Below are 19,519 nucleotides of genomic sequence, written 5' to 3'. Positions count from 1 at the left end.
TTGATGGGCATTTAGGTTGATTTCATGTCTTGCTCTTGTGAATAGTGCTGCAATGAACATTTGTGTGCATGTGCCCTCATGGTGGAATGATTTAGATTCCTTTGGGTATATACCCAGCAATGAAATTTCTGGATCCAATAGTGGTTCTGCTTTTAGCTCTTTGAGGAATTGCCATACTGCTTTCCACAATAGTTGAACTAATTTACACTCCCACCAACAGTATATGAGTTTCCCTTTACTTCACAACCTCACCAGCATCTGTTGTTTTTTGACTTTTTATTAATAGCATTCTGACTGCTGTGAGACGATATCTCATAGTGGTTTTGATATGCACTTCTCTAATAATTGGGGGTATTGAGTTTTTCTTCATATGCTTGTTGGCCATGTGTATGTCTTCTTTTGAAAAGTGTCTGTTTATGTGTTTTGCCCACTTTTAAGTGGTGGTACCATAATAGACCCATAGACCAATGGAACAGAATAGAGAGCCCAAAAATAAGGCCACACACTTGCAACCATCTGATCTTTGGCAAAGTTGACAAAAGCAAGCAATGAGGAAAGGACTCCCTATACAATAAATGGTGATGGGATAACTGGCTAGCCATATGCAGAAGATTGAAACTAGACCCCTTACCATACACAAAAATCAACACAAGATGGAGTAAAACTTAAATGGAAAACCCAAAACTATAAAAACCCTAGAAGACAACCTAGGCAATACTATTCTGGACATAGGAACAGACAAAGATTTCATGACAAAGATGCCAAGTGCAATTGCAACAAATGCAAAAATTGACAAATGGGATCTAATTAAACTTAAGAGCTTACGCACAGCAAAAGAAACTATCTACAGAGGAAATAGACAACCTACAGAAAGAAAATATTTGCAAACTATGCCCCTGTCAAAGTTATCATATCCAGCATCTATAAGGAATTTAAACAAATTTATAAGACATTTTAATTTTTATCTTAAAGTTTTTAACTTTGAATGGATTTTAAATTTATAGCTGAGTTCAAACATGTGGAATTATTTTACAAACATTTTATATGTAAAAATTAAGATCATCATGGCAAAAAAATATATCTATATATCAAAGAATATTTGTTCTGTGTGTATATGGACAAAAGCATGTATTTCTTATCTACAAATTGAAAGAAGATAAGTTATTAGCATTGGTTATGGTGATATCTCAGAGAGTTAAGCTGTTAATATGTGTGATCTTTAGCTCCATATTTATTTCAGCATGTTTCCTGGATGATAAGTAAAAAGTACAAAAATACAAAATGTAAAACCATAGACTGGAAAATCAGAAGTTATAAATACTAAAAGGAGAAATAACCAAACAATTATTCAATCATCAAAATCTCTTATTTATATAGATAAAATTTCAATTTCAGTATTTTGGCTAAACTTTTTAAATGGATGGTTTTTCTAAAGATTTCAGATGGGAGGGAGGAAGGAGGAAGTGCTTTGATTGAACATGACAAATATCAAGTAGAAGAATCTTACCACCATTCTAAATCTGAATTTTGGATATTCATCATTCAGGGAGTTCCACTTGGCCTATTCAAATCATCTCTTCATTTTCCTGAGTCCTTTCTTTCTTTATTATCTTTTATCACACCCATTCCTCTCTCAAGAAGCAAACAAATTTTCATCCTCCTCTTTTTACACAGAATAGTTTATGTCCTCCTTGCTAAAACCTTGGAACCAGAAAACTTTTACCACATGGGTGTTGTGTCTTCCATTCCAAGTATTTATCAAGGAATTTTACTAAATATACAGTATCTTGCTTCAAGGGAAATGTAGAAATTTCCTGATTTGTTAATAATTGTGTATGCGAGTACTAATATATGAATTAAAATCCTACAGTCACATGGCTTTATGGATAGTTATTTGAATCTAAGTATTCATTTCAGAAACTCTAATCAAATTGAAACAAATAAACACAAAGTGAAAATGGGATTTAATCAGGTAAAAAGTGTGAAGAAGAAAGGCGACATAAATGAAACAAACTGGCTGACTTAGCCTACATTGTCAAAAGTTATTCTTACTTGTATTCTTTCTTATTTTGAATTCTCTGAGCACATTGGTTTTAATCAATCAGCTTCTAGGAAGACTAAAACCATGAGTAGCAAAACAAGAGCTTTCATGCCAAGAGGATTTAGTTGTAAGCTCAAATAGCTCTGTTTAAATGCTAAAACTGTTAATGATTTCACCTGTAGGGGGAAAAAAAAAACAGCTCATAAACCTTAACTAAAATGACATATCAACCCTTGACATTTTTTTCTTTTGAAAAGACAAAAGAAAATGAAACAAAAGAAATGTCTTCAAGTTTCAAATATGTAATTAATCATCCAGATATTCTTTTGATCACCCAAATAACTGAGCTATTTTCTTTTCATCTTTAACTGTGCACTTCACATTGCTGTCACCTGGAGAACTTGGCATTCAGATACACTTAATGATATTTTGTACTTTCCTTTGACATCTGTTTTATTTACAAATTGTGCTTTACATTTTTAACCTTCAGCGATCGAGTATATTTGAAAACAAAAAGACCTGAATATGTGAAGAAAACAGTAATTCAGCTCAGAGTCAGTCAGAGCTACATAATGTAGATGAGAGCTATTACTGGGGGCCATACACCTCCTGCTCAGTCTTGCCCCCGGATTCCCCAATTTCATATGCTTGAGAGATTTCAGGAGGCCTTGGGATTATCAGGAAATTGTTTATCAAACTGGTTTCACAAAAGACCATACAGATACATTCAATTTGTCTTCGAACACCACCTAGGATTCCCTTCATCTAACAAACTTACTTACTCTGGATGCAGGTTGGACTTTGAGAATTTCTTCCCACCCCACTCCACTGCCCCTTTAAGTCTCAGTTTATGTTCTTTTCTACATTCTAACACTAGTTAGAGGTGGTAAGAACTTGGTATGGCTTATTCAATTCATAATTCCCTGAGTGATAAGCATGTTTCATATATGCTTCTATGTGTGATATATGGTGATATCTGCCCTAAAAAATACATAAAATGAAACTATGTTTCAAAACTTCATATAATAAGCATTACCAACTGAAATTGAACACTCGTTTTTGTGTAGCACAAGAAAAGCACCGCATACTTCAATTTATGTTCCCAATTTTTTAGTTTGTACATTTAACACATCAATGGCAGCACCTCGTCTTCAAATATCTTCTTAAAGTCTTCCTTTAGATACAACATTCTGTTGTCCTAGAGATAAAGGACTGCTTACTGTCCACATATGAAAAATGTGTATTTATATGTTTATTCATTCATGGACTCTCAGTAAACACTTGACTGTTTCTCATTGCAAATAAGTGTGAATGATACGACTATACTTCTGGGTAGTTGCATCTTATCACTCCTTGTGCTCAGAGCCTGAGAGACTGAAAAATAGTCAAAGCTCTCATTATATGCTGCATGGATAAGTGAACAAGTGATTGAATCACTATGACTCCTGACTTCAAGAGCAACATAATAGCAGTAAAATAGTAAAATATGTTACTACAAAAAAAGTCATAAGGGAAAAGGGACAAAATAAGAAGTGCCAAATTAGATGTGCTGCATTATTGGTTGGGAACTTGGAATCATTGTCACCCTTTTCAAGAAGAACCTTTCTTTGAGTTTTCTGCCCTTTGTAGTTCTGTGTTAGAGTCTGTCAATGAGGCACTTGTGCAGTTTGGAAGGCAGAATAGAAGGAGCAGCCGTAATTCTTGCAGCTTCAAGCATATCTATGGGCAAGCTCCTTGAATCATCCACTTTAGTACTCTAAGTAGCTGAGATAGCAAGATGGTGCTTCTTAAGAATTACTTCTGTTGGTGTTGCAGACTGAAATAATCTGTGGTAGCCCCTCATGAGTCAAAAAATTCCCAGTGACTTCTGGGCAAGCTTTTGAAACCCACCAGATGCAGCTGAGATACCTGACTTTCACTTCTCCATCACTTCCATGACATTCAATTTTTCTGATAAACTAAATTAAATTTGGCTTAAATCTGCCTCTGTACATAGCAAACTGTAACCTAACCTAATATGTAAGCAAACTGCAACTTGAGAGTGTATTCTTGTAACAAGTAACAAAGTCTAGGCCAACCATAGCAACTTAGCTTTAAGTCAGTCACAGGCTGAAAACTACTCAGACATGTTCAGATAAGGCAAATGTTGAGCTGTAACTAATCAGGCTATTCCTGTATGTCACTTCGTTTTCTGTCAATAAATATTGCCTGTCCGCATTGCTGGATGAGGGTCTCTGATCCTTTAATGGTTTAGGGAACTTTCTGATTCATGAATTGTATCTCTGCTCAAATAACTTGGCTAAGTTAATTTGTTAAAGTTTTTCTTTTAATACCCATAATTTCTGGGATTGGACTCTTTCTTACCTCGTGGCTTCTCTTTTCCTGATCAAATCCTAACTGATACACCAGAGTTCTGAGAGTTTTAAGTTCCAAGAAATGATATTGAAGTAAATAATTTTGTATGTGCTATGAAGTTTACAGTACCCCGTAGCAAAGCTAAGTGGTTCACTGGACAAGTAAAAATTTCAGGGAAAAAAATTTTAAAATGTTGTACTAAATCTTTTCTCCTGACTCAATGTGCATATCCAGTCTCTCACCCACTAGAATGAAACAGAATTTTTTTTTGTCATTCTCAAGTCATAAAAATGTTCTGAAGTAAATTTATCCTCTACAGTATTAATTCATTAATATTTATATACAACTCAATATTATAATCAAAATGCAAACCCCACTCAAAATCAAGTTCCCCCTTCTGTAGCTCAGGCCCCCTACAGAGAAGAAGTCTATAATGGGAAAAAATGCTTGGCTGGATTATTTTATTTTTGTTTACCTAGTGTTACCTGATCTCTGGCCCTTCTATAGTTGGTAATAGTAGAAAAACAATTAATATGACAGAAAAAAAGTCTTACTTTACAGACATAACTCTAAAGTGTGTTTCTGACTCATTTGTGATGAGACAAAGCTGACTCATAGGAGCATTTTTGTGGTTTCTTAAGGAACATTCCCTCCTCCATTAGTGAGTCTCACCAGCAGTTCTCAAAATGGGTTGAGAACACCCTAGCCAGCTGACAACCTCCACACAGAAGTTTACAGAAACTCTTTGATAGGGTCTCATTAACCCTGCAAGTGAACCAGTGAACCTCTTAGCCAGGATCTAGGACAGCACAAACCTGTTTCTCCTCCTTTCTCTCTGTTTTAGAGTTTCCTATTGGGTCCAGAAGAATCACATAATGTTGGACCATGCTTCTGGTAGAAGTACGGTTTCTTGCTAAATTCAACCCTCTTTTCATTTTGCATATGGTAGTAGTTTCAGTCACTGTTTCTTACCCTTTATATTTCTAGATGTGAGTTAGACATTTATCCACCCTTTTATAAAAATTCCAACAGATACAGGAAACACAGTGAATGGTTTTTTGACATCCCTTCCTCCCCAGTTTGGTTTGCTATGGGGATGGAACACTATCCCTCTTCCATAGTTTAAGGTACTCACAGAACACAGACAATACTCTCTAAAGATATTCTTCAAGTTTCAAACTCCTGTGGTCTCTCTGATGTTAACCTTTTCACATCCTCCAATTGGTGGGTGGACAAGGGGCACAAAACTTGTTTATAGCCACCGTTTTTCCAAAGCCTTCAAAAGTCATTGAGTGCCTTCCTCTGTTTTTTAAAGATAATTGACAGCTATTTTGAGGCATCTCAGCTAAAAGTGAGGTACACAAAGTCACAGGTACACATAAAGGCATTTAAAAGCCCACTAGGATTTCTTTCCTCTTTATCTCTTTACCGAGGAAAATGTGTTTTCTCCTCTTCATTCAACATTTATGCTTCTGCGTGTTTTGTGTATCCTCAAATTAGGAGCAGGCAAATCTCTATATCAAAGACTTACAACGACTTACACAAAACAATCTAAAGTCCCCTGTCCTTTTTTTCCTCAAGAAACTCCCAGCACCACTCATGTCAAAGCATTTTATTGATGGATGTTGGCCACTCATAATCCCTCGCAGGTGCCGTTCTCCTGGTCTTTTCTACTCTTCTAAAGGTGAGCCACTCTTTCTCATCTCCTGGAGGATGAGAGCATTTTCCTTAGCCTTGTCCTACTACTACTATTGCTCACTCAAACACCTACCCAGTATCATAGCCTCTTCCACAGCAACCTTCCTGGAGGCTCTGCATTCAGGATTTAATAACTAAAGTACATGTGCTTCAGTTCTCTAGCTGCTTCTGGTTTTATTTTCTCCACAGTAAAATTTGTTCTTATTCCCTGTAGTAGTCCGTTCTCACACTGCTAAAAAAGACATACTGGAGACTGGGTGATTTATAAAGGAAAGAGGTTTAATTGATTCACAGTTCAGCATGCCTGGGGAGGCCTCAGGAAACTTACAATTATGGCAAAAAGGGAAGCAAACACGTCTTTCTTCACATGGCAGCAGCAAGGCGAAGAATGAGTTCCCTGAGAAGGGGGGGGCCCCTTATAAACCCGTCAGAGCTCATTAGAGTTTACTATCACAAGAACAGGATGGGGGAAACTGCTCACATGATTCAATTATCTCTACTTCTTTCCTCCCATGACACACGGAGATTATGGGAGCTACAATTCAAGATGAGATTTCGGTGGGGACGCAGCCAAACCATATCATTCCCGTCGGGTCAATAGCGACTTTAGGTCACATTTAAATGTGATTATCAACTAAAGACTATTTTTAAGGATAAAATATACTTTGTTTATAATTATATGGTAAAGGGGGAAACTTAGCTTACAAGAGAGTTCTTCAGCAGTACATATACATACCATACATTTCAACTTACGGTATGAAATCAGACATAGACTCAGAGTATGCATGAGAAAGCAGAAAATGTCATGAGCAGCATCCACTAAGATCCAGCCCGGGCTAGATTACATGACGGAGACCAGCCATAGGATAAAAGGGTACAGAAGGAGTCTGAACTAGTCTGAAGGTTTTATTAGCAGGTAAGGTGTTATGTTTTGTTTTTGTTTTTTACATCCAAAATCAATTGGGTCTATTTCTTAGACTGCATAGAGAATGAGAGAGAGGTTTAATAATTTCTTTAGGAATTTGTCACTTTGTTACACTGACAGCATCAAAAATTTGGATAATGTTTTTAAGCTGTTAAACATCAGCTTTCCAGCACATATGGGAGATTGTAAATAGCATGTAAACGTTTGAAATGAGGCCAGCCTTGTAGGGCACTTTTGCATCTTTGCTTCTGTTAATGAAATGGCTAGATTACAAAGAAAAGGCAAGTAACCTTTGGAGGACACCTGAATGAAACATAGGCAACATCAGCTGGAAAAGAGCAAAGGGCTAAATGTGCTTTGCCAAGTAAGTTATTTTCATGTTTGCCACGTAAAAAGAAACAAAGATTTAATATGAGTTGGCTTGTAGATACTTTTCTGGGGAAGTTTTGAGGTGCTCCAATAATGTGTACATGTACAGTTCTATTATTAGAAGAACATGTGTGCTAGAGTATACTAGTAAAAGTAATTTTTTTATTTTCTATTCTGAGAGCCCTTTAAGTTTCAATATGAGAAGTAATTAATCAGAGGCTTTCACATGCCTCACATGAACATGAAGATCCTTTCCCTTGGCAAGATAAATGGAAGGAAGCATTCCTAACTGAGCTCTCCACTTTGCCCTTGTTCTGCTACCTAGGCTCTTGTCCGCTTGTTCTCCAACAACTCTTGATGTTTTTAATCTTTTTTACCAACTGGAAAATTGTGCTGATTGATATGCTTGTAGTTTGGTTACTGAAGTTTCAATTACTGCCAAACCATTTTTTATTTTCTACCCTACCCAGTTATTGCCATACATTTTTACTTCCCACAGGTATGGCTTTACTACCCACTGCCTATTGCTTATTTACCAAAATCTTCCCAAAATTCTCTCCTGGCAAATTATCCTACAGTGTACAGTTAGACATCCCTCAAGCTGTCTGCCTCTGTGCCAACACAGACATCTTTGTTCTGGTACTCACTAGAAATCTGGGTGCCTTATTTTGGGTATCTAATTTGTGAGGTTCTATTCATAATTATTTGGCCCTATCTGCTCATTACTAAACCCAGAAAAACTATTCTTGTACTATATTACTTAGACCAGGATAACTCCAAATTAATGACTTTCAAGATATGACAGTATATAATCTTATAAATGAAAAAGTGAATATTTTTAACGTTTCTCCAATAAACCTGAAAGAGTATTCTTTTCACAGATATTTATGCTGTGCTAGTATTAAGAGATATCTTTAACAAAGCATGACTTTGCCATCAACATAAATTGATAATGCAATTACATATATTTATATAATATGTTTTGTATAGAGTTCCAAATAAGTTTTGATATTTAACCCTATATTTTTTCTACAATTAAATTAAAAACGTTTTTCTACATTACTTTGGAGCTAGATCTGATATCAAAGTAAAATATAAAATTAATGAAATTAAATAGTTCATAGAAAAAAACAAATTTTATTAGACTAAACATCTATGAAACCATTTTAATTCCATTTAACCAAGTACAAATGTGAAGATGTTTATTTCCCTCAGTGCTCTACTGTAACAGAATCTAGGACTGTAACTGTGCAGAGAAAAGGGTTTAGGACTGTGGAGGTCTGCCATTCTAGGACTGACTCAACTTCAGACTCAACTTCAAGTGAAGTATGTAATTTTAAGATGATTCATTATTTGTTTACCCATTACACAGTTCTGTTTGTAGGTAGACAGCTCAATCAATTTTGTGATTTAAAAAAAATATTATTTTGAAAAATTTATTTAACTTTTATTTTAAGTTCAGGGGTACAGGTGCAGATTTGTTACACGGGTAAACTTGTGTCATAGCTGTTTTTTGTAGAGATTATTTCATCCTCCAGGTATTAAGCCTGGTACCCATTAGTTACTTTTCCTGGTCCTCTCCCTCCTTCCACCTTCCACTCTCCAAAAAAGGTCCAGTGTGTGTTGTTCCCCCATAGCTGTTTTTTGTAGAGATTATTTCATCCTACAGGTATTAAGCCTGGTATCTGTTAGTTACTTTTTCCTGGTTCTCTCCCTCCTCTCACCTTCCACCCTCCAAAAAAGGTCCAGTGTGTGTTGTTCCCCCTCTATGTGTCCATGAGTTGTCTTTGATCTTCAATACTTGATTTAATGTTTAGAGATTCATTTAGCAACATGGAAAGTATAAATTCAGAATGTTTGATGTAATTATTATAAATTAATTACATCTTAGGTGACTTTTAAAAGCTGGAATTTAATGCACATATATGAATGGGAAAACCTAGTTAATATACAATAAAATTATATGGGAATTACTTAAAGTTCGGCTATAAATGTAAATTACATTCTTATTAGCATATAAAACTTTCAATATTGCTGTTCTCAAGATATTTGGGTATTGCCATAAAGCATAGTTACAGCCAGAGTTAAGGTTTTTTTTTATTTAAATAACAACAGGATTATTTTATGCCTTCATTTTAAAAATGTATTAATTTCTTTAAAAAATTATATTAAGTGGAAATTTAGTAATTAACATTATCAGCATTGCCTAAAGATTTTGTCACAAACATAATGACATTTGTAGGTACACATATACAAATATATATATGTATCTCATGCAACATGTACATACCAATAAAAATTGATCAATATATTAATATCAACTTTTAAACTTTTTGCCACTTGATAATCACATAAATTAGGGTCTATTTCCATTTGAAAATACCAAAATGACTAAAATAGAAAAATTGAGATCATAAGGTTTTAATAGTACTAACATTTAATGACAGGTGTCCATAACAATTTTTTTAGCAAAAAATAAGAAAAAATAAATAACTTACTTAAAATTAAATAGATATTTACAAATTAAATACATAATCATTATGATACTTAAAACCTTCCCTTTTACTTACTTTTACAAATAAATCTGTAGGCTTAGTCAAGATATTTTCTTATTCTTACAGAAAGTAAGGTTATATTTTACTAATCAATTGAGAAGCATAAAATTATTCTTAATCCATATAAAATGTAAAAAATAGTGTATTTTGCCTATATTATTACAAAATGTACAGTCAAAATACATTATGCTCACTAATCACTAGTTTACACAAATTTGCTATCAAATTTTATTTTCAAGGTACAAGTAACTGAACTACTAGTAGAAAATCAACAGTGGAAGTCACAGTTGAGCTATAAATTCTATAGACCTGTGTGGAAAATAAATTCAACAAAAAAATTATGACAATAGAGAAAAATTGCATAAATATAATTATAAGACAGAAGAGTCTTACACGTTTATAATGTGCAAGGCAAAATTTTTGATACTGCTTTGCTTTTGTGAATAAAAATTTCCACCCTTATGCTTTTCTTACTCATCTTTGTTCCCTTTTCTACTTTTCTGGTCCTCCCACCTCTTTAATGCTGTCAACATATCCGGAGTTTGAATTTCAAATTCTCCTCTCTCTGTAGCCCTTCCTTTGACAATTATGATGCTATATTAGACAGGGTTAGGTTGAACCTGACTTGGTAAACAGTTGCTCACAGAATACTGCTCACAGGAGGAGTCCTGAAGAATCTGTTTTTTTCAAGAATACCCAGATAAAGGCAAAACTTTGACAAGAGAAAATTAACTGGGGATGTCATTACTCCCCTTATAACAGCTGGACACAGGTGGACATTGTAGTTGCTATTAATAATTTCTCAAACCTTATGCCTTTGTAGTGTTCCATTAAAATATAAAGTCTTCTGCTGGATTATTCAAATGACCATGCTTAGGTCACAAGGCCATGGCCCGGCTGTCCTGAATAAATAAAAGGCAAGTGTTTGTTCTTTTAAGATCGATGGAACCATGTAGTCTCCTAATTTTCAATCTGTCTGTTATTGTTTTCTCCTGCAATTCCTAATTAGCACTGAAATTCATTATCCTACACTGATAACTAATATCCTAATGATTTCTATCTTCTGACATCTTGATATTCACTCACACTTGGTTTTACATATTTAATTAACCTTTACCTGAGGTAGGTCTAGGGCACATAATCATAAATCATAATTACATAAATTATGTCCTGGCCGGAGAGAAGATCACAATCAATAGGGGAGCTCAGACAATGAGCCATTCTCATTAGACACACTATGTCTAATCAGAGACATAGTGTGATATCAATGCAGATGAAGAATGATTCAATGAAGGATATATTAAAAGGCATCGTAATTATTTCTACATTATTGACCCCCTCCTTGACCTCACTGCCTCTGGTCCATTCATGCTACACTTTCTTGTAAGAATGTTCTTTCCATAGTACAGCAGTGGTCATACTGCTTTCTGTTCTAAGATCTTAATTCTTCCTCTTTTACAAAGATAGAATGAAATCTATAGTCTTTCTCATTAGATCTAAAGTTCCACAAGATTGGGCCGCCATTGACAATTATAATTTTTCTTCATGTTAATCAAAATTGTTTTCCTCCAGTCCAGGCACACCAAAATTTTACACTAATTATAATATTCACTGAGTTAATACATTTACTCACATTTTGCACTCTATATCTCTCTTAATTGTTCCTGTAAAAATTCTATAAATATTGATACTTCAAATGTTCCTGATGATTTAAAGTCGTTCTTTCTTGCCTTGGCATGAGGAATTTTCTTAGTGTTATCCATTAGCTGCCCATTATCCATTACCCATTTAGCACTTAATCATTTGTTGTAGGGACAGTAAAATATTTTCTATTTCCTGTTCAAGATCTCATGCAGTTAATAGATACTACAAGTTTATAGGTCTCAGAATTCAAAAGTAAATTAATACTTTTCTCTCTGCTTAACATACTAGTTTATCATTTCATATTTTTTCATAGAATGTCAGTTTAAAGTATAAAAGTAAACTGTCCAATGAACAGCAACAGGGTTTTTTGATAAAAGAAAAACAGTACGTTTAACAATGACACTTTTGCCAATTTATAAATTTTGTGAGTATAGGACACAGCATCTCAAATATAGCTAATCCATTTTTAATTCAATTATGTACTCTTTTATGAATTTTTAATTATCTATTATGAAAATGTCTACCTAGCTATTTTATAATTAAATTAAATTGAATTACCTGATCAATTTTAGATTTATAAGAACCTGATCGCAAATCTGTATCAAACTGTTTATATAGAAGTATAAGTAGAAAAAATGTACTATGTTTGGATACTTGGGTCAATCCTACTTAAGTTTCTTTTTTTTTTCCTTTAAGTAAAATCAATGCAACACAGTACTAGGAATTATATATTCATTGCTTTTTCAAACTCTCTTTATTTTTCAGAAAAAAATTAAAAATAAAACAATGTGCAAGTATAAAGATGGAGAGTACATAAAACAGAGTGTTTTATTGCTTTTTTAGAATCATCTTATGCCTGACTTTGGAAAATGCTGAACACTAAAAACCATTGTGTTCTAAAAAATTGTACAGGCTGTAAATTTAAGCTCTTTGCATTTCCTTACTTCTGTGTTTACTATTTCCTCTAGGAAAATCACCTGTGCTTTGTTTTCTTCTCTTTTAATCTCTTTTATTATTTATTCTTCCTATTATGAGGTGTCAAATCTTTCATTTCTTTCTTTGCCTTTTTTTCCCACTTTCCTCAAATAACACAGATTAATCATATTGTAATCTTCAACTCTCTTTCCCAAGGCTGATTTTCTCTTCTCTCTTTATTAACCTCTTCCTTCCTCACCTTAATCCATGGCAGTATAGATGGCCCCCTCCCCCTTCCCCTGGGCCATCAGGGTACAGGATTTTCTCTGATGATTACCGTCTTCATTGTCAAAATAAGTGCTCTTTCCTCAGCCTAATTTTGCTTAACCCTACTGCAGTATTTATTGCCTACCTATGAAATAGATTGCGTATTTTGGCTGGTACTATTCTTTCCACATCTCCTCCTGTCTCTTTCAACATGATTTGTTGGTGATGCTTTGCAGTGACGCTTCTCCTACATAATGAAATATATTCTAACTCTTCAGAATTTTATTATAAATACAGGTCTTCATTAACCAGTGGAACCCAACTCTGGGTAATTTATTAAATGTACAAACATATCACATGTACACACATATGTATGTGTATATGTGTGTATATATGCATGTATGTATGTGTGCATAAATGTGTATATATACACATGCACATATAATTAAAAGGAGTATTTATCAGAAGGATATTGAGGGAAAAAGCTGAAGAGGTTTCAGAAAGGACAAGGTATAGAAAAGTTGAGAACAATTAGCAGGAACTATTGATGGTCTCTTCAGATACTGCCATTCCCATGAGTCTCTTCCAAATATTTCTTAATTTATATGTTCTTTACCTAAAGATGCACATTTTAGGAAGCTAGCATCTGATTTTCAAAACTAAGTTCAGGAGAAGTGACACATTTTAACACCCCCCCCCAAAATTTAGTATCTAATGGCTAAATCACACAAACAAAATTCAGATGTTTTTAAGAGAAAAGGAGAAATAGACACTGGATAGGCAGGAATAGCAGCCATCCACGGTATATGCCTTTCTTTGTTCTCTCAGAAAACACCCTATCTCTGAGAGGATGTACAGAAGGAGCAAAGTCAGGGAGACTAACTAAAGCAGTGTTCGTGTTCTGGAGTCACTGGGATGCAGAGTTGCGTACATCCTTCCATCTCTACTCAGTGGCACAACATAAATGTGGCCAAACCACACAGTGATAGTATCATAATGGATATTCATTTATTAGGTACCACACTAAATGCATTAAATTGAAGCCTCAAGAACACAGTTTATTTCCCAGATCTTTTTGATTGTATACTGCTCTTTGTCCTAAATCATCTTGCGATTTCCTCCTAAGGGACATATTAACAGATAAGTAAGGAAGCAAACAAACTATTTTTAATATGAAGAATTCCTCCATTTGGATCATATATTCAACTTATATAAATGTAAATATAAACATATATATCATATATATGATACATATGATATATATATCATATATATATATGATATATATATATGTAGAGAGAGAGTTGTGGTGGCCTTCTCTTCAGGGTCAACTACACTGCAACCTTAACTGGATGAAGCAAATAGTGTTATATAAACAATTATCATTGATTTTAGTGATTTTTTTTATTTATAAAGAAATCTTTGCCTACTATATAATATAGTTCAGATCTTTGAAATCAACCACCAATTTCTCCCATCTTTGCTATTCAGAATTAGGAAAGGGCATAGGAGGAGAGAAGGACAGAACAGATGAAGCTGAAGCTCCACCCAAGGAAGGATGGGGTCTGGATCTCTTAAGCGTGGCCCCAGGTGGGAAGCCAAGTGGCTGTTGGGATACAAAGACTATCAACTCCGTGGAATTGTCTCAGGCATTGCCGGAGAGAAACAGTGCAGGTTCTAACATATTCTAGAGATAATCTTTACTGGTTTCTTTCCGCTAACACATATGTGAGAGATGCACAGATTCTCTAACTACATGACTAAGGAAAAATTGAAAATCTGATTAATTTTCCACCTGATTTTACCAAGTAGTTGACCAATATTTTGGGATTATGCAAGTGTACATATTTAAATTTTAAATATAATTTATGATTTTAAAACAATTTACAGCAATTCATTTTTTGTGCAGCGCACTAATAGTCAACCTTTAAATCACGTTTTATACAGAGGTATTTTTGATTTTTTAGAGATAGTTGTGTTTTTAATAAAGTCTGCATTTTTAAGTATTGTACAATCTCTTGACGTACCTTTATCTTCTTAAGGCAGAAGTTAAATGCATTCATGAATAATTTCTTACAATTTTAAAGAGCTGCATATATCATATAAGAAACAAAATTTTTAGCATGACATTAAAAAAACAATGTGCGATAGTATTAAAAGTTTTTAGAAAAAAGGAATTAAAAATATTTTCAACATTTTTGCTAATAATTTTAATCTTTCATATCACTTCATAAATATTCATGATAAAGTACATATTCATTATTTCCAAAAGCAATATAGCTGCTGAAAATTAATTATGAACATTTACACCAAAAATAGCCTGTCCATGAAATTTCATTCAGATGTTGTATCATTTTATGATATTCTACCTTTTGTGTTTTTTTAGATCTAAATAATTTGAGTTTGTCTTCTCCACTTTTTCTTAAAGCAGCCTTTAAATTATCACTACCAATATGCAACCATTTGCTGCTAGACTAAATTGCCTACTGAGTAGATTTGAATATGCATTATGGCATTTGGGAGAACAAAATAATAAAATCAATATGAAAGAGATTGATTCCCAATATTTATTGTAAGAAATAATGCCCTCACTAAAATTTGTGTGGGAGAGAGGAATTAACATACAACCATCTTCATGAATTGGCTTAGTTCTTGCCTATATTGCTCCAAAAGTAGCACTAACAAAAGTTTGCAATTATATTTTTCTTTTCCTTTCTATACTGCACGCTATTGAAAATATCACACACATAATTGTTGCCATTCTAAAACAGAACAAAAGCCATCTGTTCATGATTATTTTGTATGATAGAGAGTTGCTCCTAAGAAAGACTCAGGCCCCTTGATATACATAATAGAAAAATACTCTTTCACTACAGGGAAATTACCGCACACCAAACCATATCCATTAATGTGTACCCCGTAGAATTGAAATTGATTATTATTTTAATGTAGCAATGACGGCAGTCTATACATTTTCCTAGCCACATCAATTCCATTGAATACATTTGAAGTTTGTTCTCACAAAGACCATGAGCAAAGGAAGAACTAAGGACAATTACATGACACACTTTAAGGAACATATAATTTCACAGAAGCAGTGGTGGAGTAGGTGCGAGGAATTCTGTGAGTAGCCACAGACAGCTTTAGGAGTCTGCAACCTCAGACTACATATCAAGAGATCATCTACTACACTGTCAGGCAGACAAGTCGTAAAGAAGCAATTACTGCCAAGATAAAATTTGACTGTTTCAGCAAATACAGTGCCTTCAAACTTTACACAGCCTGGAAAACATTTTTAAATATAAAATTTAAAGATGAAGGAATAACTATAATGCCTTTTAAAAGTATTAAAATAGGGACTTGTCACAGCTCTGTGTTTGTAAAATTGTAATTTTTGTAATTTAAAATTAAAATTTAAAACTAACATTTTTCTTCTTTCAAAATATGTGAACAAAAAGTTCCATCCTCTTTTAGTAAGAGGAGGTAGAGATAATTTACATAGTAGACACAGGAGAAATAATATTTTGTTGATCTGTTTAACGAAGTTAGCAAAAACCTGCCTAAAGAATAACCCAGAGAAAGATACTAGATCTGGCTAAAAGCATAAACATAAGCAGCTGAAGTCACAGTCTTTAACCTAATGATACAGTAAGGAAATTAGCTCCCTTTCTTCGAAGATCAGTTTGAATCATGCTAAAACTGATGAGACCAAAGGTTACTGGAGAGCTTAGGTAGCAACTGGCAAGTGATACTTAACATTGGTGATCACTTAAGCTTTAATGTACTGTAATGTAATTCACATAAACCAAAGCTCTTCGGAGTCCTCAATAATTTTTAAGAGCATAGGAGAGTCCTGAGACCAACAAGATTGAAAACCACTATAAGCCTAAGATAACAAATGCAACAGGCACTTGAGTCCAAGCCCAATAATAATAATAATAATAATAATAATAATAATAATAATAAATACTTAGAAAAGCAGAACTCATGCCAGGCATGCGGATATCATTTCTCCTTAGTCATATGATCTTAGGGCTTGAAGAAAAATTAGAGCTCGTTCTTAAACAATTCATTTTAAGGTTGGAGAAACAGACCCAGAATACAAACAACTGCATATTTAACATTGTGAAAAGAACCCATAATTCTTGACCCTAGGGAAATACTGTTTGAGTTACTCTGCATGGCTTTATTTGGAATTTATATTTTATTTAGCTTTAAACGGACATTATTTCCCCGTTTTGATCAACACAGAATAACTGAAAGCAACAAGACCAATTTTCTTATTTGTTGGAACATTTCTTTAGTGTATACATGTATAGTTTTTTGGCCACATGCCTGCTACTTTCTTCATTTAAACAAATGTTTTAGAAGAGGCAATAGAACACTTGATTGTTATTATATTCCAGTTTCATTGTTTCCTAATACTTGTATCTCTGCTAACGTGAAAATATGCAAACATTCACAATGTCAGACACCCAAACTACCAAAGTAGTAGAAAGCATAATCTCATCAACTTCAGTAAAATTACAGAACACCTTGTCGTTCCACTCAGGAACCGTCTCAAGTGTCAAAGCCCTTGGTATTGCTTTGTCACTTTACTTAAAAAGTGTACTTGCCTGTGAGTCCATTCTTTCTGACCTCTTTATCTGTGGTATTAGCTTGTCATTTTTTGAAAGAAACTAAAACTAAACAAAGAGAGCTTATTGTCATGGAAGCCAAACCCTAAGAGAATTCCTTAGAGAATTAACCAGTGGAATTTTTAAATAAATGTGGGGATGAAGAAAGAGTGGGATCTCTTCCTCCCTCCAAGTTTCCAAATATTTGTTTTTCCCGACTTGAGAGATTCTTATGCCTTTAAAATTGTTTAGTTCTAGCTTTACCCAGTTGATTCTTATTATATATCTAGGAACCAAGTTGTATTCATTTAAAAAACAACAATATGATGCAGTCTCTTATTATGGTTGTCATTTGAAATAAAAATGCACTTCATTCCCTCTTCAGCTTTCAAAAGATGCCTTATATGATGAATAGCCCCTTCTATGTTACATTATGCATATATAGGGAATGGACAATTTTTAAAACTACCTGAGTTTTTATAAATGTTGTTGAGTTATTTAAATTATTGCTTCACCCTGATTATATAACAGAGCCATGAAGACTTCATTTTCTTCTCTCATCCTCTTTTAAACAGGTAGTCTGCTTAAACAACAATTTTATATCCTTGCAATAGTTTGCTGAGAATGTTGGTTTCCAGCTTCATCCATGTCCCTACAAAGGACATGAAGTTGTGCACATGTACCCTAGAATTTAAAGTATAACAATAAAAAAAATTTATATTATTTCTACTATTAAAAAATCCTTTAGAGGTTGATTTATTTTCAAATATATTTTGATAACAAGATGATGGTTGTCAGTACCATGTTACCACAAAAATGTTTAATTTAATTGAACTTTTTGTAATAATATTTGCAGTATCAGATTTTTATAAAATTCTAAAGATTTTTCATATTCCAGAGCGAGACTCCATCTCAAAAAAAAAAAAAAAACTGAAACTGGAGGGAGGACTACTTTAGTATTTATTAGGTAAGTCAGTTTTTTTTTTTTTTTTTAAGACACAGCCTCGCTTTATCGCCCAGGTTGGAGTGCAGCGGCGCGATCTTAGCTCACTACAAGCTCCGCCTCCCGGGTTCCCGCCATTTTCCTGCCTCAGCCTCCCCAGTAGCTGGGACTACAGCCGCTTGCCACCACAGCCGACTAATTTGTATTTTTAGTAGAGACGGGGTTTCACCGTGTTAGCCAGGATGGTCTCCATCTCCTGACCTCGTGATACGCCTGCCTCGGCCTCCCAACGTGCTGGGATTGCATGCGTGGGCCACCATGCCCGGCCTAGGTAAGGCAGTTTTAAATTAGTTAAACGTAGGAAGTAAAGCTACTTTGAACTGATCCTTTGACAAGACATTCACTTCTCAGCAGAGTGCTATGAGGGACTAATAAATTATTAAATTTTATTGTGCTAAAACTAAAGTGAATTTCAAATGTGAATAACAAAAATTTGTCCCATCCAAAGCGTAAGTGTACATGTTTCTTCCTTTAATGTTAGATTAGAACTAACTCAGTGTTATCATTAAGCTATCACATTTAGGAAATACTTGCTCTTCAAACCAAACTTTTTTTTAAATTTAACTTTTTCAGCCAAGTTTAATTCAGGATAGATGAATAGTGGGCATAGAGTGGTAAAATATATGTCTCTTTCATAATGAAAATATTAATTTTACAGTAAATTTACTGACTATGTTAAATGCAATGTCCCATAACCAGAATTTCTATAATTCACTTACATCAGTTTTAAAATACAATTTTATACAGTATACTGTATTGGGATACTTTTATACACATTTTTTCAATTTTCATAATTCTATGAAAGAATAATTTCTGTCTAACAGATGAGGAAGTAAGATTTTCAGGAGATTGCATGACTTTCCCAATTATACTGTGAATGAGGTGCGAAGGTGATGTTGAAAGGACCACATTTCCTGATTTCAAAGCTGTCACTTATTTCAACCTGCCGTAGGCTCCTGCATAGCTGTGATTCTCAAGCATATCAGCATACTGAGGTGCCTTCAACAATGCCAAATAACACTTTAGGTTATTATTATTTCTATTGTACCAAAAAGCAAGTTCAGATCATAAGTGTTGATAATTGAAGTTTTTATGTGATTATAGTTCATGGTGCAGACTGAATTGTCCATA

The 19,519-nt window shown here is 34.0% G+C and overlaps 1 protein-coding gene across 2 annotated transcripts in view, besides 1 other annotated feature; it reads left to right on the top strand.

Moving 5' to 3' along the window:
* Positions 1–19,519, top strand: part of EYS (eyes shut homolog) — a 1,987,247-nt gene that overhangs the window by 1,181,940 nt on the left and 785,788 nt on the right. The gene's annotated exons all lie outside the window — the stretch shown is intronic.
* Positions 4,877–5,171: an enhancer, noted in NCBI's record as "tiled region #6473; K562 Activating DNase unmatched - State 24:Quies". NCBI's record gives its function as "activates a minimal TATA promoter and a strong SV40 promoter by Sharpr-MPRA in K562 cells {active_cell/tissue: K562}" and the evidence as "EXISTENCE:reporter gene assay evidence [ECO:0000049][PMID:27701403]".

This window comes from Homo sapiens, chromosome 6, assembly GCF_000001405.40.
Source record: "Homo sapiens chromosome 6, GRCh38.p14 Primary Assembly".
In the NCBI taxonomy this organism is placed as follows: Eukaryota; Metazoa; Chordata; class Mammalia; order Primates; family Hominidae; genus Homo; species Homo sapiens.
This window is presented reverse-complemented; position numbering and strand designations above follow the sequence as displayed.